The following is a 24,512-nucleotide window of genomic DNA, read 5'->3' as shown; positions in this document are numbered from 1 at the left end:
CCAGCATTTTATCAAGGGACAAATTTCTACTACAAATGAAAGAAATTATACTTTATCATTCTTAAATGAAAAGGAGCACACAGACTTCCTAAGGTGACTATTTCTGGTGTCTGCACAACAGCACCCACGCACATCCATCCATCCGCTTCATGTGTGCCTATCACAGACCAGCACAGATCGCGGCCTGCAAATACCCTTTGTTTTCTACTGCCCTCAGCAGTAATCCCCTTCCTACCCTGGGGCTTCTAGAATTTTCCTTTGAAATGGGATGTCTCTTTCTATGACTAACCTGATAGAAACCGAATGCAATTCAAAAAATGTAACTGTACCGTAGATCTAGTTATCAGCAAATCAAAGACAATTTGTATCTCCAGCCGCTCGAATCAGTCTTCAGAGTTCCTTTCCACTCACTCATAACCTCAGAGGAGACCAACAGTGAACAGGCTTGCAAATATGTTTGCTGGGCCCGATCCTGCATCAGCCTCTGAAAACCCACACTAAGAAAACAGAAAGCTTTAAAGAAAATTGAGCTAAAATAGAAGTTATCTAGCATTTCAGTAGAACAACTTTAAATCTTCCTATCTGCTGAGACAACTATCTTTACTAACTCTATTTGTTTTTAGAAACAGAACTAAGCAAAAATTATTTAGCTCCAACAATGTGGTTTCACCTACAGTTTATAGGACAAGCTCATCAGAACCCAATAGCAAAGTTCATTTTTTAAAAACACATTCTGACATGACCAAATTATACAACTTCAGTCATTACGGAATAATCTCAGTGATATGCATATATATATATATATATATATATATATATACACGCACACACACGTATCTACACACAGACATATATAAATATATATAAATATATATATATATATATCCCTCCACTGACTTTGCAATAGGTTCTGTATGTTCTGAGTTGAGTTTGCTCTGTGGTTGCCAGTGTCTAACAGTAAACAGCCCCACTGCATTTATTGGCAATTACTGCTGAAGGTCACACATCAGCAGTGAGCCTAAATTCCAGGAAAAAAAGCAGCTCTTATGTAACTGCTGCCTGAACACTGGCAGGTACCCAACCCAGCAGTTCACAGCAATGTAAAAAGTAGGACATCTCCACCCTGGGTTGGGCGTCATGAGAACGCCCCCTGAAGGTGAAATTTAATCACTCTTTGTTTCTCCTGTTTCCCCCTCTACCTCGAATTTTACAATGGCATCTTTTGCCGGCAGAAGCAGCTCAAGTAGGAGAAGTCGAGGAGTTAACATATGCAGGCTGCAGCCGCCCTGAGTAGCTGGAATGTGAATTTAGCTTTTTTGTTGCAATGCAGGAGGGCAAAGTTGCTAGCTGGCACCAATGGCTCCAGAGATTCCACAGTTCCAAGGAGGCAGTGATTCAGTGGGAATCACATCTCAAATACGTAGAAACAGACACGTCCACTGAACCACAGTACCTGCTTTCTAAACACACCAATCCCTTCTACAGACACATCTATGAAAACTAGGTGGACTACTGTTCTGCTCACCACCTCGGGAGTACTTCGCTGGAACTATCCGTTTGATTAGTGCAGCACTTTAAAGCATAGGAAAGCAATTCACATGATTACCTGTTGGGGCCACTCACCTGTCATCACCTGATCTCCTAAGCCGCTACCTGGCCTCCCTGCTTAGGTAGAAGTCCCCGGATTCCATGAGCTTCTCCTTTCTAATGTGTCTCACAGCTGAGAGCTGTCATCTTGCATGAATCTGTATTATTGTCCCTTTGCCCCCCACAAAACTGTAATCTCCAGAATGGCAGACACTGTGCCCATTTGGGGCACCACTGTATCCAAATCCCCCTGGACGTAACAGGCACTCAAATATTAGTCATATAAATGAATGTCTTTAGCACCAGCTGTTAACTCTTTCAAGCCAAGAATGGCTAGAGGAGGGAACTTTCTGGGATGATGGAAACATTCTGTGTCTTGATTTAGGTGGCGGCTACACAGGTGTACACATGTGTAACAATTCACCCAGCTCTGAGCGGAAGGTACAACAACATGAGGAGTTTCTCTCTCTCCTCCACCCCATCTGTCCCCCTGCCCCAGCCCCAGGGGATTAAGAAAAATCAGGGGGTAAGGATGGAGACCCTGCCTCTTTGCTTGCCAAAAAACAAACAACCCCTCCTCTTCCTGGTTTCAAACAAAATTTTATTCTAGAATGCAGCGGGGAAGACCCCATACCATGCGCTTTTCTTGCAGGAAATCTACACCTGTGTCCTCATTTCACCCTGTTTTCTCAGAGCACTGACAGGGCCTCAGTAGGCATTGTACTTTTTATCAAGTCATTAATTGCACATCAAGTGGCCTTTATGATCAAAGCATGGCGTCCCTTCCTCAGTGGGCCACTGGGCAGGCCCTACACAGCCTTGGGGCTCTTCCCCACCACATTTAGACTTTGGAACATGGGTACGCAGTTCAGATGTGAGGCCCTGCCTTAATCCCGGGCCAGCACGAATTCTCATTAAGCTTCTGCAGAACTCCAGCTGTGGGCTGCAGGTTTCCAGGAGTACACACCGGCAAACGACTTGGTGGGGGAGAAACCACAGGAGCTGTGGTAGCTTCCAGAACGGCATCAATTATAAAGGCCAAGGAGGCATCTCCGCTGAGAGGGCCAGATCCACCAGCCTGAGGGGCTGGGGACAGGGCATCGGTGTCCCAGCGCTGGCAGTTGCCAGGGGAACAACGCAGAAGGGGATCCACAGTTGCTTCTTCAGGGAATTTTCAAAGAATCTGAGTGGCTGCCAGAACATTCCTCTTTTATAAACAGACAGTATTCTATTTCCTAGAGTATAATTACAAACACACCTGCTCCAACTGTGGAATCTTTCCATAAGTGAGCAATAAACTCCCAGCCAGGAGACCCAAGTTCTATCTTGAGCAAGCAAACACATCAACTGATTACTATGGGGCAAAACAGTGTATTAATAACACCACAGACTCTGATTAGGGAAGGTTTTCCTTTCCCGACTTCATTTGTACTTAAGCAAATAGAAACTCAACCTCAATATTTCAGAGGAAAAATTTAAATCAGTGAGGCATTTACAACTCTACGTAGAAACAAGAGTCTTAAAGGGTGCCAACATCAAATTCAGCATAGAAGTGATTTTTCTGGCATATAAATAACCCGGAAGAAGGAATGCTAAACAGGAAACGGCAAAATTCCCTGCAGTTAACGGCAGTTAATTAAGTTGGTGCACTCCCTTTTGTTTTTCTCACCTTCTAGTCTTCCCAGAAGGCATGGCCCTCTCACCTGCTCCCGTCTAATTAATATAAGGAAAAATCTGTGCTTATGGAATTGACTGTGGTAGAACAGTAAGCACATCAGGAAAGCCAGCCACGTGTTTGTCCTGATTTAGTCACTGTCTAGCTGTGTGAGCTAGGACCAGTCACTTAGCCTCTCTGAGCTCCATTCCGGAGGCAACTGTGCCAAATTCAACATAAGCACTCATGCTGCTTTCTGTTTCAAGCTGGTAATTCAAACCCTCCTTAGGGATATCTGAACCATTTCTTAGTATTCCTGAAATTACGGTGTATTAATTAGAGTAGATACTAGAGTAGACAGCATGTTCTATTTGGTAGCTCTATCTCATCTAAAGGCATTAGTTGGTCTACTAAAAGAAGAAACAGAGATCTGAAGTAGATCAGAGAAGTGACTTTTAAAAGACAAATTAAGTTTTTGTCCAGTTTGCTTGATTTGCCAACCAATGAAACCCTCTCAATTATGTACATGAATTCCTCAAATTAAAATTTTCTGGTAGCATTTACCTAGCATGTGTCACAACCTAAAAATACAGCAAGGAATACTGAAGAAATGCACAAAACAGAAAACATTCAAGAGGCCCCCAGATCCCAAACAAAATGACCACTAGTCAGTCTCCATGGTAATTCTGGGTACGGGAAACTAGCTTGATATATAAGTACAGAAGCCACTGGATGATATTCAATTTCTGGATCTATACATAGTTTTCCTAGAAGAGAAGCCATGGATACAGGACATTTCTAACCTTGCCGGTGAGCCTGCGGATGGAAAGTCTCAACTAGCACGTAGGAATTCACACTGCGCTTAAAAAAAGTTTTATATGAACTCTCACACTCAATACTTTTCAATACGTAGACCAAGAGGGTAATGAGTTTTCCTTTTTTACTACTTTCAAATTATACCAATGCTGTTGTATCGTTTTGTATCAGATGCTTTACTCACAGATAGAGAAGTTCTTTAGGCCAATTTCAAAACTGACTTTCAGAGATAGGTTAATGGCCAGCGTCAACCACAAATTCAGCTGAGATTTTAGACAGTGAACAATTAAAATCTTACTGCAGTTTAGAAAGTCTTCATCTAGACTCAGATGAGATCTCCAAGGACTAATGGCAAACAAACTCATGGGAAATGCTAACACAGACACGACAGACTCCACTCACTCCCAGAGGGCACACCACACAAAGCCAGATACTCGACGCTGTGAGACTAGAGGAAGGATCACAGGGCTAACTGGGAAGGTGTCACGGAAACACCACCATGAGACATGAAAAACAAAAAACAACAAAATTAGGACCTCAGCATTATCCAATTCATCAATGGAAATTAGCTGGAAAAGAAAAAAGGGGAGAGAGAGAGAAGGAAATGTTAGGAAAGGAAATACAAGCCAGCCAAGTTTATAGACTTTACTCTTATTGCTGACGTTTCTCCTTAAAGCCTTGCTAGATGGGTAACCATCCTAAGAGGCTTGGGCGCTTAGGACACGGCCAGAGCTCACAGTGACATCTGCTCAGGACCAAAACGGACACGATGCTGCCACGCTTTATTCACATATCAGGCATCAGACCTCGCAGGTCACTTAACCACATGTGCAGACAGCCGTGTGCTTGCTTGTGGACATGAAAACATGAACCGAGCTGGGAGCAAGGGCAAATTCCCCAATGTTTTTTTCCGAAGAGGGTGGGAAAGAGTAGAGTGAAAGACTAGAGTAGAATTAGCCCAGTTTAGAAGAAAATTCTTTCCTTAGCTTCATTTTATGACTCAGTCGGGGGTCAGAAGCTCAAACGGTACCAGCTGTAACTTCAGCAGCTAATAAGACCAGCATATCCCCAGCCTGGTCCTGTGGATGATTAAAGGAAACTATATTCCCTCTAGGATGATTAGTGCCAACTCAAGTGATATTAGTGACATGGGATTTATCAGCATCGTGTCCAAGAAAAACAAAAGCACAAGAGAAGTATCACAATTACGCTTGTTTAAGGATAGTTGGATGATCCTCAACTGATTTTTTATTAGGCTTTGTTAACATTTAGTATGTTTTGCAAATTTAAGTTGCTGTCAGAAACACTAGTAGCTGGAAATGTTAATACTTTACTCAGCTGGAGCAAAGACGCTTTGGTAATTAATAGGAGACTGACAATTTGTATGAAATGAAAACCCAGGCATTACCTGAGGTCATATACTTTCTAGTACTAAAACAGCTACTACTATTCAGAAGGGAAATGGATTTTAAATACATTCTAAGATATCCTTTTACATTAATTCCTGGCCTCTGAATTTCTTTCCAAAGCTCTTTGAGTAATAACTTAAGTCAACAGCAGTTTAATAATAAAAACCCACAGTAAACAAAACCAGTTATTAATAATACATAAAATAATTATGTTTCCTTCTCAAGCAGGGTCTAGGGGCTTGAAGATTTTCTGAGTTAGAGAGTGATTCAGATTAAATTTTAGAGCTATTTAGCTGTGGGAGGTTATTTTCTTTTCAACACAGACATGGTTTAAACTGTAGATTAAAAGCAGAGATTAGTAGGCATTGCACACAGAGTGTTTATAAAGTCCTGATATAATTTTAAAGTTTATTAACTTTGAATACACAGGACCAAAAGACACTATAAGCATCATGCAAAAATGTATTTCATCATTATTTTGGTGATAATTTTAATATTTATTTTATATTTAACGATCTGAGAAGTATATGCATTGGTGGTCCTTTGCATTTTAGAGACATAAGAATTAAAGATTTTTTTTATTCCTAAGTGGTCATGATTAAAATCTCTGGCCATCTTCTTCAGTCAGCCCCTACCTTTCATCATATGTGATAATTTGTTGTCGTTGTTGTTTTGAGATGGAGTCTTGCTCTGTCACCCAGGCTGGAGTGCAGTGGTGCAATCTTGGCTCACTACAACCTCCACCTCCTGGGTTCAAGTAATTCTCCTGCCTCAGCCTCCCAAATAGCTGGGATTATAGGAGTGTGGCACCACGTCAGGCTAATTTTTGTATTTTTAGTAGAGACGGGGTTTCTCCATGTTGGCCAGGCTGGTCTCGAACTCCTGACCTCAGGTGATCCACCCGCCTCGGCCTCCCAAAGTGCTGGGATTACAGGCATGAGCCACCATATCCGGCCATGATAGTTCTTGAACAGGCACTTCTTGGGGGCACTGGACCCAGACAAGTGAACCAACCACTTGCTACTCACTAGTCTGATTCCTCTGTGTGGGAACTGACCAAAACTACAGGTTTTGGATGACCTTGGGACAATCACACTTTGTAAATGCACTTGGCGTCTATTGGAGAGTGTTCTCAACTGTGTGAAAAATCAGCAATGAGCTGAAGACTAGATGTTTAAGTTTTGATACATTTAGTGCTCTCAGGGCTAATGCCCACTATTGTTTACATAATCGTGTAACATAAAGGAAACTTACAGGTTCAACCTGTAGGTGGACCTCAAAACACTCAAATGGTGTCCATCTGTTCACTGATAATGCAGTGGTGAAGAGCTAGGACTCTAGGATCGGACTGTCTGGGTTTGAAAGCCAGGTTGCCTTGTAATTAACTATGTAACCCCGGGCAAATTCTGTAGCTCTCAGAGCCTATGTTTTCTCTTCCTTGCGTATAAAATAGTTAATGACAATAGTGGTATCTATCTCTGAGGCTGAACTGAGATAAGGCAGATGTGTTTAGTATAGTGGCTAGCACATGACAAGAGGTCGATCAATGTTATCATTGTAACTTATAATCTAGGAAACTAGTGAATATCCATGACTTTTAAAAAGTGTAGGTCAGTCTTACAGTGATTCTATCATGTTTTAGTCTATTTGGTAATATGGGTGACAGTTCTTCATGGCCTTTCTTCCCCAAGGCAGGGAGACCCAAACAGGCACGCCAAAGTTTTTGAACAGGATAATAAAGAATGATGTCAACTTTCTTTTTCATCTGTGACCTTGACTAAGTACTAAAGTTGAATGAAAAAGTAAAGATGGGTAAAGGTACCTACGTCTCGTCATCTTTAAGGATTATCGCTTAGAAAAAAGGCAAGAAAACCCAGCCCACACATGGTGGACACCACCTCAGGAGAGGCTGGAGAGGACACCTCACAGGGATTTGGGAAACCCAGACGGTAGTCTTGATCTCATCTAGACTTCACACGTGACCTCGGGCAGTCTCTCAGCTCTTAGCCCCAGCCTCCTCGTAGGCACAGGGAGAGTTGGAAGAAGCCATGCCAGGGCCCCTCCAGATCCGATTCTTTGGCGGTGAAGGCTCAGGAGAGGGCAGAGAAGCAGAACAATTCTGGACATCACCAGGGAAGTGTCAGTCATGGGACAAGCTCCATAAGAGGCCACTCATCAGAAAACAGGGATGGGAGGAGGGAAACGGCCTCCACACTCACCGTGGTGTCGTCCTCAGCACCCAGGCCAAAGAACACCTCATTTATTATATTGACTCAAGCCAACTGGTTTGCTTGAGAAAGCTTAGTTCTTTGGCTCCGGGTTATTTCTGCCCTTGAAAAAGTCGGCCTGCCCTGTGCGTCATGCTTCTTTAGTCAAACGGGGCAGCCAGTAAACCATCAAAAAGCATCTTCAAAAAGCCTTAGTGAGACAGACAAAGTGAATACCAGCTACCAGGTCAGGAGACAGAAATACTTTAGTGTCCCTTGTTCTCCTTCTCTCTCTTTTGAAGCTCAATTAATAGGAATGGCTAAGTAGCATTTCCTGGCAGTCAAGCATTGGGCCAGAAGCACGACAAGTCTTGCAGGTTTGGAGTGGCTAACATGGGTTTCTAGAGCATCTTCCTTGCTTTCATGGCATTTTCCTTGCTGGCCTATAGTTTGTTCACATTCATGGATGGGAATGACAGCCCTAACCAGACTGGAAAGAAAGGCCATCTCTTCTCCAAGCCTCTCTGCTTAGGTGTGACTGATTTCTTCACCAGCTGAAAAGGATTTAAGCTAGACCCCAGGAACCTCTACAAAACTGTGATATAATTTACTCTTTCCAAGTGATCTCCTTTGAGGGTCCTCTCAACCCTATGCCCTTTCTTTCTCCATGAGCTTTATAACATGCATTACGACATTTCTCATGCGGCATCCCCTGGGGTCTGGGATGCTCTCCCAGTTGGCACTAATGGGTAGGGGCAGGGAGCAGGGCAGCACACCTTCCACATAGCCTCAAAGACCCTGACATACTTGTCCGCCAGGCAATAGAGACTCAGGAAACTCCAGGACAATGCTTCTACGTTCCAGGTTATAAAAAGACAACTGCAGGGAACTGCATGTATAATCACAACTTGTAAGTCACTAGAATAGAGGCACCGAAGTTTACTTTAAATACCTCGGTTATGGAAAGAAATAGATATTCCAAATAAGAGAAAATTGTGGTCTCCAGATTTGAAAAATCAGGTTTTATGCCCATGGATGCAAAAATATTCACTCAGCTTTGGTGGATTTAACCTTTTTTATGGAGAGCAAGTTTCTGTAACTAGATTCATATTTTATAAATGTTTCTGAAAACTCACTTTAAGAGAAATGAAGATCTTGTGAAATAAATGGTTAATATTTATTTGTCTGGTAAGTGTATTCTCTGCCATCAGCCTTCCCCCGTACCCCCCACCTTTTTTCTTTTCTTGTTTTTAAGAGATCTACTAGGTGCCTATACAGGTATGAACAGGCCATCCCAGCACTTCTCACCTTGCCAGGGGTCTTCACTTCCATCATTTATATTTATAAACTCTTGTCTGGCAGGTTTTCTCTGCAAAATTCCTACTGAGTTACAGAAACCTATGTTCTAATTAGTTTCTAAAAAATGTAATGGACATTTCTAGTCATGGAACTCTTGTTGCTTACAGATTATGCCCCGTGGTATAAACTAAGAAACTGCAAAATCCGTTTTCTGTTTTCTTATCCAAGGAGTCTCACTAGTAACATTGCTCTAATATTAATGACAGATAGGTTAGAAAGCAACATTCCTGCAGACATTTATACTTGTGACAATCTGGTTGCCACCATCGATTTTGACAAGGCAGGCTGATTTAATTATCAAGGCTTCTTCCTAGAGCTGAAAAATGACTTACTGGGTATTTTGATAAGTCAGTGATATCAGCATATTCACCTACTCAGAAATTGTTGCTAAATGTAGCTAGCTGACCGTTACTGAACATTATTACCTTCAAATGAAAATGAGTGAGATTTCAATTCACGCCCATCATTTGTTGCTGGGGGCTGAAAGGAAAGGGAATGACATTGTTTCTGTCCTGCTCTACCCAACATCAGAGGTGTAAGGAATGGATCTGGTATATCCTTGTTCACTGCATATACTAAGAACAATCAGGTCACGGGACTGTCCATTTCCCAATCTCCCTCAGAAGTGGTGACGTGTATGCCTGCCTTAATTGCAGTTAGAAGTGGAGGGCGTTTCTTGATGCACTGAAAGGATTGCGCAACAGCTCATCTGAACGAGGCAAGTAAACCCACAGGTATGCTTGGCTGAAACCTAAAAATCAGAAACGCATACTTTGATACAAAAGAGGCATTTGCTCCTCACTGGGAATTTAAATAGATGGAAAATCTTGTTATTACCACTTCTCTGACATTAGATTATGTGGCAATCAGCCTATAAGAGACGACTAAGTATATTTGACTTTTAAAAAAGACAGTCATATGATTTAGCTCCCTTTAACGGCAGGATAAACAGCTTTTTCTTTCTTTCTTTCTTTCTTTTAAAAAAAGCTAGCCCCTCAGTCAGTAATGCCTGAGCTAAGGTGGGTTTTGAAAGGTCCCTCCCTTCAGTTTCATAGTAAAACCTGGTTTGACCATGAAAATAAAATGCAGTACCTTTTCTCCATAGCCTCTATCTTTGGTCATCATTTCCCTCAGGGTCTGTAGGACCTTAATGCAGAGCTTCTCTTCATTTTCTTCTAGCAGCTGTTTTGTATGCTTTATTAACCTGAATGGGGGGAAAACCACGGATTACTTCCTTGAAGCTAATTTTAAATTAAAAAGACTTCACAAGCAATTTATTTTAACTAGTCCGTTAATGAACAAATATTTATTAAGAGCTCTCAGGTTAAAGATACTTCAGGGCATTCCCTGCACTGAGAACAGCCAGTTAGCAACTGTGTCTCAATAGTGACACCTGCTGGTAAATCACAGCAAACAGGCTCACTGGGCAGGAGTCAGCCACATACAATGGAGAGATTATATGGAGAGGAGAACCGAGACAGAGGTCCACTCAGACCTGCTCGTTTATAAAGCGTGGCTATTTATCCACTGAGAATTGCCAGTAAAATGGGTCAAATATGCCAACACTGTAAAACAAAAACAACTCATGAGGATGATGGTTGAGGCCAATACACACAGTTCCCTTATGCACAAGCTTGTCCTTAGAGGGGCCCAGAAAAGTAAGAAACTCACATGCAGAGTCCAGCCCCAAGCTAAACAAACAACTAATCTTAGGGTAAAAATCTCTTTTTTTTTTTTTTTTTTTTTTTTTGAGACAAGGTCTCGTTCTGCCACCCAGGCTGGAGTGCAGTAGCGCGATCTTGGCTCACTGTAGCCTCTGCTTCCTGGGTTCAAGTGATTCCCCTGCCTCAGCCACAGAGTAGCTGGGATTACAGGAGCCCGCCACCATGCCCAGCTAATTTTTGTATTTTTAGTCAAGATAGGGTTTCACCATGTTGGCCAGGCTGGTCTTGAACCCCTGACCTCAGGTGATTCACCAGCCCCGGCCTCCCAAAGTGCTGGGATTACAGGCATGAGCCACCGTGTCCGGCCTTGGGGCAAAAATCTAATGGAGATTTCTAACCATGGGTCTGCTTGTTGCTTACAGATTACGCACAAGGCATAAACTAAGAAATTACAAAATTATTAGGAAAAGATGGTGAGGTCACGATAGATCTGAGATTTCTGAGGGCTGAGGGATCATGGCTTTTTTATGTCTGTACCACAGCACACGGTGGGTGCACTGTAATGAATGAATGAATGGGCATGCAGTGAAAATAAGAACTTCTCACCAAAAAACAAAGCAAAACAAAACAAAACAAAAAAGTGTCAGTAAGCAGGATTTAATAGACAAACTTACTTTGGGGAGGTCAGAACAGGACTTTAGCACATGACCTTGCATTCATCAAAGTTAAAAAACAGGACAACGTCTCCTTCTTCGGGAACAAAAGCTTTGTGAGGTCATCAAGGTTCTGGCAAATGAACACCCCAGAGAGAGAGGCCGCTTACTTGCAAATGAAACCGCCACTTTCACATTTCCTTCTGGCGTCTGTGTTCTCTGGGAAAAGCAGCTCGGGTCTGTGGAGAACATCCACGAGCACAGATAACTCTGCCTGCACCAGGGGCCTGAGACGGTCCTCCAGCGCGGAGACGATGTCCTAAAACGGAAACACAGCCTCAGTCAACGGCTCAGGCAGACGCTGACCACAGGAGGGTGAGGACATTGATTTCTGCCCTAAAACACTGATGCACGGGTAGGCTAGGTTAGAGTAACTTTAGTACCGTCTGGCATCTCAAATTATTAGACATTGCCCAATGGTTACCTGAAACATTAGCCTCTGATGCAGAAAACAAAGTGAAAACAAGTCAACTTTCCCACCACCCCTTCTTTCAAGGTGGCCCTTATGCTACTCAAGGTACCACTGCATGTAGCTTAAAATATGACGCAAAAAATCAATTTAACAACATGGAAAGATGTCTATGACATGGGCATAACAAAGGTCAAACAATAATAATCCTATTTTTATAAACATCATCAATATCTAGCTAAAGGATAAACATCAAATATTAAAACATTACTACTGGTTTTCTCTGGGTGGTGGGATTACAGGTGATTCTGATTTTCTTCTATATAGAAATACTTGTCAGTGTTGTTTATTTTCAATGAGCATGAATTATTCACATAATAAAGTCATACAAACATGAGGACACCAATGAATGAACATGCTGTATCAACATGCTAAATACATGTACCCTGATAGCATGATGGTCTTCAAATGCAAAACACATAGCTGTAGGAAAGGAAAACAGAGAGAAGTTGAAAGAGCAGCAAAACCAACACAACAAACACCATTTGAAGGCAAATGATAGAAAACAGATGAGAAATTATCTTCAAAAGATGCTAAAGCCTGCTCCATGGTTTGGTGACTCAGAACCTGCCTACAGGCATGTTGGCTAAGACAGGGGCCAAACACAGCACGTTGGATAATACAGGAAGGCCTGGTTACCCAAGGACATTTGCATGGGAAAAGCTGCTTAAATTGGGACCCAGTTGGGATTGACAAAGAATTAACTAATCTTTCATCCAGAAACTAATGACATGAAGATAATTTAATCTTAGATTTAACACAATTTGGGTGATGAATGTAATCACTCAGTAAGGTTTAAGATGCATAAAGATACATGAATCAATCAAATAATTTTGAGTGGGGCAATTTTCCCAACAAGACTGTAAGACGGTACTTTGCAACATCCCTTAGTTCATACTGACTTTCACAGCACAGTCAAAAAAGGGTCATTTCTGCAAAATTCTGAGGCTCTTATCAGTTCCCCCCATAGCATCCCTTTTGGAAGCACCCAGTCAATATTCTCTTCAATAGTTATTGATCCTGACTCTGGCAAATCTTTGTCTACGGTATTTACACAGGATTAAAGTTGTTCTTATCATGTTCATGTATTTCATGAAATCCTGCATCTTTTGCACAGTTTGAACTTTACATTGCAATTGATTTGCATTGTACTGTCAAATGTATAGCATTCAGCAATCAAGGAGACATCAACAAAGATGGCAAAGCAATGGGCGGGGAAAGATGCTAGCATTAAGTGAGAAGGATGTCTAGATGGGGATTAATTATAGAAGTGGTCTGTTTGCGAGTGAATTTCTTATATTACAACTTTTGCTGCACTAGGCAATCTCATCAACCACAAAAACTCAGACAGTAAATAACTGGATAATGCAAATCCTTTACGTCACTGGCCAAGTCCTTAGAACAGTACTGCCCACCTACGCGTTTCATTTAACTTCCCAAGAATATGCATAATAAATCTAAGAAGAGCACAAGAAACCAGCATGTTTGATTGCAGATAGTTTGTTTCATTTGAGCAGGCGAGAAAATACTGTATGCTCATGGAGTGAGGAGTCTACAACATCCCTCCCGCCTTTCTAAAAGCATAGTGGGATCAGGAAGCACTCCATCAGGAATCAAGAACTGGTTCTCTTTGTTATTTAAGAACTGGTTGTGTTATGATAAAGGCTGAAATTCTTAACTTGACCCGAGAAATCCCGCCAGCCTCCCCAGCTTCCTGGCTCCAGCCACACTCAACTTCCTTTGCTCATAAGAGCAGGGTTTCATAGGTCAAGTTAAGATGCACGTTTAAGTGTTTAACACCCATCTAATACGACTCTCCCTTTTAACAAAGGGAGAGCAGATCTCTTGGTAGACGCTAAGAAAAAAAAGGAATAATCTAGCTGGAATTGAGTAATACTTTTATTTTCATCTTCTTTTCGGTATAACGGTCTTTACACATGCTGTTTCCCTCCCTTTTATTCTTTAAGTCCTGCTGTTCCTTCTCATCTTGGTTCAAAATGTTACTTTCCTCAGCAAGGTCTTCCTTGACCCTCATCCCTAACCTCAGACAAAATTAGTTTCCTCATCAGAATCTTTCAAGCGCTCCTCACTTCTCTGCACTTCTCACTTGTCCCTCTCACCATTTTATATTTAAAATTAATGTCTCTTTCTCCCTTCTGATACTTGAGATACTATGAGACAAAGATCATCATTTCTGGTTTTGCTGACCACTGTATCCCCAGAGCCTAGCATGGAGCTGATGAATGATTTAACGAATTCATCTGTCTTCAAGTAGGTTGTGTAACTGTACAGAGACTCAGTAACTATTACAATCATAGCAGTAAACAACAGTAATAATAGTAATAATAATAATAGCAGCCCTCAACTGAGTGCTCACTACATGCCAGGCACTGCTCTATGTGTTTTATGTGCACTCTATTTTCCTAAGATGGCTATACCACAATACATCCTGTCTTTCACATTCTTCTTACAATGTGACACTGACATCCCTTTCACTGAATGATGGTCTAGATTCCCTCCCCCTGAACTGGAGTGAACCTTTGAGACTGCCTTGACCAAAAGAGTACAGTAAAAGTGACGCTATGTGACTTCTGAAACTAGGTCATAACAACAATAAAGTTTTCACTTGTCTCTCTCTACACACACTCATCTTGGGACACAGCCGCCATGATGTGAGGAAGCCCAGGCTATATGGAGATGTTTCAGTCGACAACTCCAGCTGAGGTCCCACCTGACAACCAGCATCAACTGCCAAATATGCGAGTGAGCAAGGTGTCAAGATGAGTCCAACCGCAGTCACTATCTGACTGCAACGCCATGAAAGACTCTAAGCAAGAAATAGCTAGCGGAGCCCAGTCAACCTCCAGAAGAGCAAAAGAGAATAAGGTAATTGTTGTGATTTACTGCACGAAATACAGGTAACTGGGACATATTATCAACTCTCTTAATCCTCACATCAACCCCACGAGGTAGGTGCTACTGTTTTACAGACTAGGAATCTGAAGGACCGAGAAGTCAAGTAACTTTCCCAAGATTACACCATTTCTAAGCGGCAGAGCCAGGATTTAAATTTAACCCAGGCACTGGCCTGAGACTACACTCTTAAACACTGCTTGTGGGCTCATTCAAAGGATCTGCGATTCTCAAACTGTGACCTATGTACTACCTGTGAGAGCATCAACTGAGGTGCTTGTATAAAAAATACGTTAATGTTAAGATGCATGTTTAAGTGCTTAACATCTAATACTCACTACTCTCCCCTTTAACAAAAGGAGAGCAGATGTCTTGGTAGATTCTACGAAAAAAGGTAAATAATCTAGCTGGAAGGAATACTTTTGTTTCCATCTGGCTCATTCTGATGTAAAATTCTTCTCTCAGGTATCACCACCCTTGTTCACCTGCTGATTCAAGAGGCTAAATAACCCCAGAGTGATGGGGAAAATGGAACATTTATGCTCTTACTCTAAACATCCTCTGTAATACTTCAATACTTCCTTCTAATAAGAGCAGAGTCCCAATTTTTCACCAAGAAATCTGCAAATCTAGGAGTAACCTTTAAAGACCATCACTTTTCAGGAACTTTTCTATTCCTAAGTAACTTCCCACTCCTGGCCCTACATATATAACATTTGACTATTCGTTCAGCACACCGACATCTTCCCACGGCCCAGCTTAGATGCTCTGTGGCTCAAGGATGCACTGCTGTGTGTGGCAATCACGTGAGGCCAGGCTAAGCATCACTTCTCTCAACACCAGGCATTACCTGCAATCTCTCAATGATATTCCGGTAGTCTCTGGAAGCTGCCAGAACAGAGTCCCTGCGTGCGGCATTGCGGGCTGAGAGCCGCCAGTTCATGGCTGTTTTCTGCACAATGCTGTGGGACTTGAGAAAGAGGTTGTTGACTTGGCTGTCCAGGTCCACGGGAATGGCAATGGCCCGGCTCTTGGCTGCACAGGAGAAAGATGAGTCGTGAGCCTACAACTTTTATGGGGGACACCCTACAGATGGACGTAATGCCCTAGTCCCCATCCAGCAGGTTTTTCACACCCAGAATGGGCCAGCTTGCCTGGTATTGAGCTTAAAGACTGAGAAGCTCAAGTCAACTTTACCATCTTTTAGGTCAGGGTTTCCCAGTGTGAATTCTGGGGGGAAGCAGTTCTTAGGAATGTTAAAATGCTCTCAGGTCATAAGGCCAGGGCATGTCAGAGTTAAAGTTCAATGGGTTTCCTCAATGAATGGCTTCTTAGGGTCACTGAGGTGTGTGTGTATTTTAAGAATAATCAAGACAGGGAACTCGTTTGGCCAATGAATCATTTGCTAGTTATTTTTCAGGTTTGTTCAACAATCTACAAAAATGCTGGGTTATCCCAAACATAATCCTAAAGGTAGCATTCACAATGGCATAAACTCCTCTTTCTGGATAGGTGCTTCTTTCTTCGTCTTAAAAAAGGAGAACTCCAGTCTAAGCATGAGACAAACATCAGTCAAACCCATAATGGGAGACACTCTACAGGACTCCTGACTAGTACTTGTCAAGACTGTCAAGGTCATAAGAAACAAGGAAAGGCTGAGAAATGGTCACAGACCAGAAGAGACTGGAGAGACATGACAACCAAATGCAAGGTGGTACCTGGACCAAATCCTGGAACAGAAAAAGGGCATGACAAGGGACAGCAGTGGGAAAAGTGGTGAAATTCGAATCGAGCCTGGAGTTGAGGTAATAGCACTGTACCAGTGTCAGTTTCCTAGCCTTGACAAAGGTGCCCTGCTAATGTAAGATGCTGACAACGGGTGACAATGGGTGAGGGATTTGTGGGAACTCTCTGTATTACCCTTGCTACAGTCCCATAAACCTGAAATTATTCCAAAATAAAAGATTTTGAAAAGGAAGATAATTAAGACTAATAATCACTCTTTTCCATATGGGAAAATGTCCAAAAAACAATGATTTCCTGTCTTCAATGCTTCAAAACACTAGAAGCAAAGAAAGTACTCAACTATCTAATTGTAAAAACAACTCCAACATCCTGAAAGAGGAATCTGAGAAGCAATTATTTAAATCCCATTTAAAAACATACACACACACACAATTTAGCGGAAAAAAAACTATAAGCCAGCCAACAACTTTCTAACAGTCTAATATAGAAAGTGGGAAATTTGGAAAAATACAAATAATTAACAATTGAAAAGCAGGATGCACAGGGTACACCCGTCACAGCTAGAAACTCTATGCCTTGGATATTCATAAGCTAAACAACTAACACAGTGGGTTCTGGGTGTGGTATTAGTCATGAGGAAGCGACCCCCAAGAGGCACAGAGGGGACTCTGGGTAGTGCTGTTTTCATGTCTTACCGTTCCACAGACATCAACTCTCCTTGTCTTTTGTCTTATCACCACCAAGACAAATGGAAAGACTTCCCCTCTCTAATGAGCACTGAGCTACTAGTCAAGTCAACCACTTGCTAAAATATTAAACAAAAACTAACCTCTGTGGCAAGGGCTTCCTCCTACGTTTCCTTTGGCCTCAACAAGCACAACTTTTTTTTTTCTTTTTTCCAACTTTTATCTTAGAATCAGGGGGTACCCGTGCAGGTTTGCTGCAGAAGTGTATTGCTTAATGCTGAGGTTTAGGGTATGATCGAACCCATCACCCAGATAGAGAACAGAGTACCCAACAGGTAGGGATTTTTTTGTTTTTTTGAGACAGAGTTGCGCTCCTGTCGCCCAGGCTGGAGTGCAGCGGCGTGATCTCGGCTCACCGCAACCTCCGCCTCCCAGGTTCAAGCGATTCTCCTGCCTCAGCCTCCTGAGTAGCTGGGATTACAGGCATGCGCCGCCATGCCAGGCTAATTTTGTATTTTTAGTAGAGATGGGGTTTCTCCATGTTGGTCAGGCTGGTCTTGAACTCCCAACCTCAGGTGATCTGCCCGTCTCAGCCTCCCAAAGTGCTGGGATTACAGGCATGAGCCACTGCGCCCGGCCTCCAACAGGTAGTTTTTCAACGCTTTTCCCCCTTTACCCCTCTAGTAGTCCCCCATCTTTACATCCACGTGGACCCAATATTTAGCTCCCACTTTAAGTGAGAACGTGTGGTATTTGGCTTTCTACTTCCACATTAGTTCACCAGGCACATTCTTTTTGATAGATAATCCTGTATGGAAAAAGTATAGGGTTATCTGGGAATTTCATTGCAGGGCCCTGTTTCTAAGATATAACACAATGAACCTGTCGTGTATATATTTTCCAAAACCTAATTTCTTACTGTGAAATACGGCCACACCAATAATAAAAAGACATCAACACCTACCATAGGAGAGTAAAGGAACTGGGCGAGAGACTACCGAAATCAGGCAACAGTCCTAATAGATTATACGTATCTCCCAAGGTATATCCAAACTGACTTGATATCTTACCTACACAATTGACAGTTGCTGGACAGCCACTAAATAATGCTGAGAACTACACCTGTCTTGCTCTTCTTGTTACTGTCTGCAAGGATCTAAGAGGCCACTCCAGGCAGGTAACTCTCTTCTCAACTTCAGGCAGGAAGCTTACCTCTTTGCACAACATTAATAGGGGGTGGGGAATGGGTCAAGTCATGGAGTCTGATAAAGTCAGGATGAAGGAAAAAGAAATTTTCCTAACTTCCTTTCAAAGGCTGCCTATGAGAGGCGGGACAGGAGGGGAGTCACAGAGGAAATGGAGAATCATTTCTACTCAAGGGGAAGAAGGGAGCAGTGCACCATTTCTGAGAAAGGGTGTTCCTTAGGATGTGACAGGTGCTTTCCAGGAAAAAGTTACCACATGGTCAAGTACATTTGCTGGATTAAACAAATTAGTTTCTTGAATGAGGGACTTCCCAGGGCCTTGAATAAGCTGTGTGTATCGTTACTTGCCAAAGAATTGCCTAACAACCATGGAAGCTTGTTTATCTAGGCCTATCTGACTTAGGACTCACTGGCTCTTCCCTTGGGAAATGCTGGCTTGGTAGATAAAAAAAGAAGCCCAGCAATCAAGAAGACCTTGGTTCCGGGTCTGGCTCTGAAACTTCCTGTCTGTGTAACTTTAGAAGAGTTGTAATGAGTGCTCAATAAATGGCAGCCTTACTACTGTCAGACAATTCATTTTCATCACGTATATCCAAACTGACTTGGTATCTTACCTACATCAGACAGCACCCGAATACAGCTCTCCACGGAGGCTTTTTGGCTTGGCATTAACCAGTTGCAGTGGTAAACCCTGAACACGCCTTGCAGCAGTTGCACAAAGACAGGCTGGCGAGTCTGCAAGAAGCCAAAAGAGGCAACGTGAAAAACAGATTTTTATTTGTAGACTACTGATGATCCGATCAGAGACAGAGACATTGTCTTGAACCACTGGACCCCAGATCAGAGACAGACACTGCCTTGTTAATGGACCCTGAGGCAAGGGTGAGAGGGGATGCCTGGATAAGAGCTAAATTCCATAAGTTACCTAGCCAAGGGAGAGCAACTCAGAAGCATTTTAGGGCAATGCATTAACTTGATGCTATTTTAACTAAGTTTGAGCACAAGAAGGAGCAATGGATCCACAGTTCAAAGACTGGTATTCTTATCCAGTTACCAAGCAGCTGCATGACTTTAGGCAAATTACTTCACCTCTCTGAGCTTCAGTTTCATCCAATGTATAAAATAAGTGGATTGAGGCAGACTGACCCCAAAGTTCCTTCCAGACATTATATCCACTGAGTAGAACCCATGTCTTTAATCAGCAAAAACAAACTGATACGTGGATCTCACCTCGACTGCTACTTCTTTATTTCTGGCAAGGTCTTCAATGACATAAAGAGAATTCGGATAGTTACTCTTTATAAATATTCATTTATTATGATGAGTACTTCGAAGTTACATGAGAAGATTTATTCCTTTCTACAAAGGTATAAATTTATACTCATTTTAAAGTAAGAGTACTCAAACATCCACTGAATCAATTTGACACTGACTTTCTGAGTACATTAAAAAATTATAGTTTTGGTCTCCATTCAAAGGGTAGCTTTGGACCAGCAAGGCAAAGATAGATAGCTGTGTGTGCTGCGCTATTCAACTGGTCTTTTCGTTTCAGAGGGGACAACTTGCATAGCCCCTCTAAAAACAGCGGAAGTTAATATAGTAAAGAAAAAAGTATTGAAAACCCCGAAAGAGGTCTCTGAGATGAAAGAAAAAGGAAAGCGTCAGGGGAGAAAGGAAGTCTATTTTAAGAAAATAAAAAAGATTAATTAAAAATTCAGAACCTCCCTGATAAACATGGTTCAGATAATCTCCATTTATTAAGGGCATGCTATGTGTGAGACATTTCACATATGATCTCATTCAGGCCTCAGTGAACAATTCTGTGACTTGGAATTACCTTCCCGTCACGCATGAAAAACAAAGGCCCAGCAAGGATAAAAGAAATTATCCAAAAGAAAAGAGAAGTGACGGCAAAGCAGGAGGTCAACTGCAAGAGTCTCTGATGGCAAACCTCCATGCTCTTTCCATGAAGTTCACCTGGCAGCCAGAATCTCATTGCCTTCTTCAGGAAGTACTTTCTGTCCTATTGCCTGCAGCCACCCAAGATAGTAAGCTGTGTTCCTAATAGAGGACAGGAGCAGAGGCAGCCCGGGAAACTGGCAGGGGAAACCTAGGATTTAGTCCCTGAGTTTTGTGGCTGCTTGTTAGCTCTGGAGCTAACTCAAAGGGCCCAATGAGAACGGTCATTTACCCCCAGCACTTCCTACATGCCAGGCTCTGTGCTAAGCACTTTATACATATTTAGCCTTCACCATCACCCTGTGAAGGAAGCAGTGCATTATCGCCTGCCCTATTAGCCAGTAAGTGCTGGATTTGGGATGAGAACCCAACAGCCCAGCTCAAAGAAAGCAGTGTCTCTTGACTAGATGAATTCCACTGAACCCTATTCCTGGAACACCTGATCTGCTCCTATTTGACACCTCAGTGTACAAAAGATGATTAAATGGATAAGAGTAGCCACCTGCTAACCATCCAAACGCAACAGGCAATCTGGTGGGATATGATTTGACTGTGTCCCTATCCAAACTTCATCTTGAATTGTAGCTCCCACAATTCCCACATGTTGTGGGAGACACCTGGTGGGAGGTAACTGAATCGTGGGGTGGGTCTTTCCCATGCTGTTCTCATGATAGTGAATGAGTCTCGCATGATCTGATGGTTTTATAAAGGGGAGTTTCCCTGCACAAGTTCTCTTCTCTTGTCTGCTGCCATGTGGGACGTGCCTTTCACCCTCCACCATGACTGTGAGGCCTCCCCAGCCACATGGAACTGTGAGTCCACTAAACCTTTTTCTTCTGTAAATTGCCCAGTATCGGGTATGTCTTTATCAGCAGCGTGAAAATGCACTAATACAGGTGACATCAGCTCACTCAACCTCCTGGAAGAGCAAAAGGACACGATGGCTCACCATCTGCTTTTTTCCTAAAATCCTCCCCTTTCTTCATTCCTGAGGTCCCAAATCGCATCCTGCCTGCATGAAAACTCCTGATCTTGTTCTGCCTCTTTTACATCCCATCCTCCATTATTTGTGTTCTCTCCAGGTCCCTTTTCGTTCACCGCTTCATTTTCCTGGCTAAGGCTTCAACCAGTACATGTTTATCTCTGGTCTCTACCGCTCTCCTGAGTCTCATTTATTCATTTGTTCAACAAATTAGCAACTCAGTGCCAGTCACAATGCCAGGTACAAGGGATAGAGTAGTATATGAGATGACCATGCATGTAAGGCATAACTTTGTCTTCATGTAGCTTATAGTCTGACAGAAATAGCACAGGCTACCATTTATTAAAGCACCTACTCTGTGTCAGGCACTGTGCTAGATGTTTTATAAATGTTATCTCTAGGATTGGAGGGCAGGGAAGCAGAGGACTGGAGGACAAAAAAAGCAGAAAAGATCTCAAGGAGAAAATCAACAGTTAACAGAACCATTCAGTATAAGAAAATATCCCCAGGTACTTCTTTACCCAAGAAATCCCATCAAAGCTATCTTCCACCAAGAGAAATATATCTTGTATTAATGCCTTGCAGACCAGTTCATTTACAATTGCTTACTCCCAAATTCACATCAAGCCCAACTGCAGAAGGTGTATCGTGAACATTCTGCTTGACGTTGGTTATTTCTTACCTGCAAAGTCGTACTCTGGTCTGAGAAGGGAGAGCTGAAGAAAGTAGTAACAATACTCATGACGATTTCGGTGACATACTTCTCCAAAATCGAGTCTGCATGTTTCCTGTCACTAGTGTTGTTACAGGCCTGGAAGACAAGTGGGTATGTTAAGCATTACACCAAAACCTACACCAAACATTAAGAAATCTGCGACTCCCTCCTGTGGGTTACTTTTAACAAATGAAAGGTAAAGGCCTGCTGGCCAATATTTCTCCCCTTAAGGAATCATAATAATAAAATATAAATCATGAAAAAAAGAGAAGCAGATCAGCTTGGATATCATGATGCAAAATCACAAACATTAAAATGGGTATGAGACCAACAAGGCCACCGCTTGCAGCTTCCTACGTGTGTCTGGAAAATCCAAAACCCCAAACGGCAGTAAGAAGCACAGTGACTACAGGTGTCTTAAATTTCCCCTAAAAGAAAACTGCTCTCCTGAGTAATCCATTCCTCGGTTCTAGACCATGGTTTCCTCATCCAAATAGTCAAATGTTACTGAGGTCCTGTGGACCTGACCGTCTCCAATCCTTTTTTTGTTTTGAGATAGAGTCTCACGCTGTCACCCAGGATGGAGTGCTGTGGCATGATCTTGGCCCACTGTGGCCTTCATTTTCCAGGTTCAAGTGATTCTCGTGCCTCAGCCTCCCAAGTAGCTGGGATTACAGGTGCCCACCACCATGCCCAGCTAATTTTTGTATTTTTTTTTTTTTAGTAGAGATGGGGTTTCGCCACATTGGCCAGGCTGGTCTCGAACTCCTGGACTCAATGGATCTGCCCACCTAGGCCTCCCAAAGTACTGGGATTACAGGTGTGAGCCACCACACCTGGCCTGACCATCTCCAATCCTACAACAATCTTCCATTCAATTAAAATCTGACCAATACACAACATTGTTCAAAATAGCAAGCCATATTTCAGAATAACTGACTATACACGTTTTGGGGTGAGGAGACACCTACGATTTCACCCGTACTCTGCTTAATTCTGCTGCCTAGAATAAGATTTGCCATTGAGAGGGTTAGCACATTTTTTAAAAAATCAAGTTTTATTACTGAATTCATTAGTTCTATAATTTAAGAGATAAAATTGCTTATGCTGAAAAGAATGAATGACATAAAAATCAAGTGTTCTAAGAGACTCTCATGTTCTCACCTTAAAACTAGACAGTCTGAGAACATATTCCAAGAATGATATTAATAACTGATTTTACAGCATTTCTAAGTAATTTAATGCAAGGATCGGCAAAATCAGGGCCAGTAATTATCTTTATAAATAAAGTTTTATTGGAACACAGCCAAATCTGCTTGCCATGGCTACTTTCATGCTAGAAGGGCAGAACTGAGTAGTCATGAAAGAGATGAACAGCCCACAAAGCTGAACATATTTACGATCTGGTCCTTTACAGAAAATTTCACAGAGCACTGATTTAAACAAATAAAGCAGGCCTGCCATTCCAAGCCAAAATCCCTAGGCTAATGGGATTAAAAAACTAGGAGGAGTTTGAGATTTTTAAAAAAATATGTCTGTGAAACCAACACCTGACCAAATATTACTAAATACGGTTCTCACTCAGAAGGAAAATAAGTTCTTATAGGCTTCTGTCTCACACTAGTAATCATACAGTCAAGCAGAAAATACCACATTCTAGGATTCTACAGTGCACCTTTTTCACACCACAATGTTTCTGAAACTGGTATGTATCTGACAATTATCTTCTAAAGAATCTTTTAATCTATCTGCTTGCCAAATTCCACCATCACAAAACTCATTTTAAATCTGTGGTATGCTTGTTATGTGGCAGTCTTGTGGCTTTAGCATGAATATTAGGCCCAATGCAAAACCAAATGAAGTATCTTAAGGCCACTCTTGAGGCTGAGCCAGGAAAGCAGTAAATGGAAGTGAAGAGTTTTGCAGAATCCTCAAGTTCAGATTGCAGGAGACAAATGCTCAAGCTCAGGGAAGTGCCCTTCAAGCACAGACATATTACCAAGGAAAATAAATCCTTATAAATTGAATTTTAATATGCCCAGGTTATCATTCACCAACCAATCCACAGGGGTGACATGAAAACCAGAAATAACCTCTCTTCCCTGCAGATTGATAAATAACATCCATTCTCGGCTAAGAGCAAAAGGTAGGAAGAATGGCCAGGTGTGGTGGCTCACGCTTCTAATCCTAGCACTTTGGGAGGCTGAGGTGGGCAGATCATTTGAGGTCAGGAGTTCAAGACCAGCCTGGCCAACATGATGAAACCCTGTTTCTACTAAAAATACAAAAATTAGCCAGGCATGGTGGCAGGTGCCTGTAATCCCAGCTACTCAGGAGGCTGAGGCAGGATAATTGCTTGAGCCCAGGAGGTAGAGGTTGCAGTGAACTGAGATTGTGCCACTGCACTCCAGCCTAGGTAACAGAGCAA

At 42.3% G+C, this 24,512-nt stretch overlaps 1 protein-coding gene and 1 long non-coding RNA gene across 5 annotated transcripts in view, besides 1 other annotated feature; one reads left to right on the top strand and one right to left on the bottom strand.

Annotated features, from left to right (window-relative positions):
- Positions 1-24,512, bottom strand: part of ITPR1 (inositol 1,4,5-trisphosphate receptor type 1) — a 354,159-nt gene that overhangs the window by 125,514 nt on the left and 204,133 nt on the right. For 2 of the 4 annotated variants that reach the window (NM_001378452.1, NM_001168272.2), the window contains 6 exon segments: positions 22,052-22,180; positions 19,043-19,163; positions 15,642-15,826; positions 11,520-11,668; positions 10,125-10,236; positions 4,594-4,626 (listed from right to left, as the gene is read on the bottom strand). In NM_001378452.1, the coding sequence (NP_001365381.1) occupies positions 4,594-4,626; positions 10,125-10,236; positions 11,520-11,668; positions 15,642-15,826; positions 19,043-19,163; positions 22,052-22,180 (729 nt within the window). 4 annotated transcript variants of the gene reach the window in all.
- Positions 2,579-3,079: an enhancer, noted in NCBI's record as "H3K4me1 hESC enhancer chr3:4760598-4761098 (GRCh37/hg19 assembly coordinates)". NCBI's record gives its function as "activates a minimal SCP1, AML or CMV promoter by ChIP-STARR-seq in primed H9 embryonic stem cells {active_cell/tissue: H9 hESC(primed)}" and the evidence as "EXISTENCE:reporter gene assay evidence [ECO:0000049][PMID:30033119]".
- LOC124906210 (uncharacterized) lies at positions 11,641-16,769 on the top strand. Its single transcript, XR_007095797.1, has 3 exons — positions 11,641-11,724; positions 14,541-14,764; positions 16,304-16,769. It is a non-coding gene; the product is annotated as an uncharacterized LOC124906210 (long non-coding RNA).

Source organism: Homo sapiens, chromosome 3, assembly GCF_000001405.40.
Source record: "Homo sapiens chromosome 3, GRCh38.p14 Primary Assembly".
In the NCBI taxonomy this organism is placed as follows: Eukaryota; Metazoa; Chordata; class Mammalia; order Primates; family Hominidae; genus Homo; species Homo sapiens.
The sequence above is the reverse complement of the archived record's forward strand: the minus strand, read 5'-3'. Positions and strand labels throughout refer to the sequence as shown.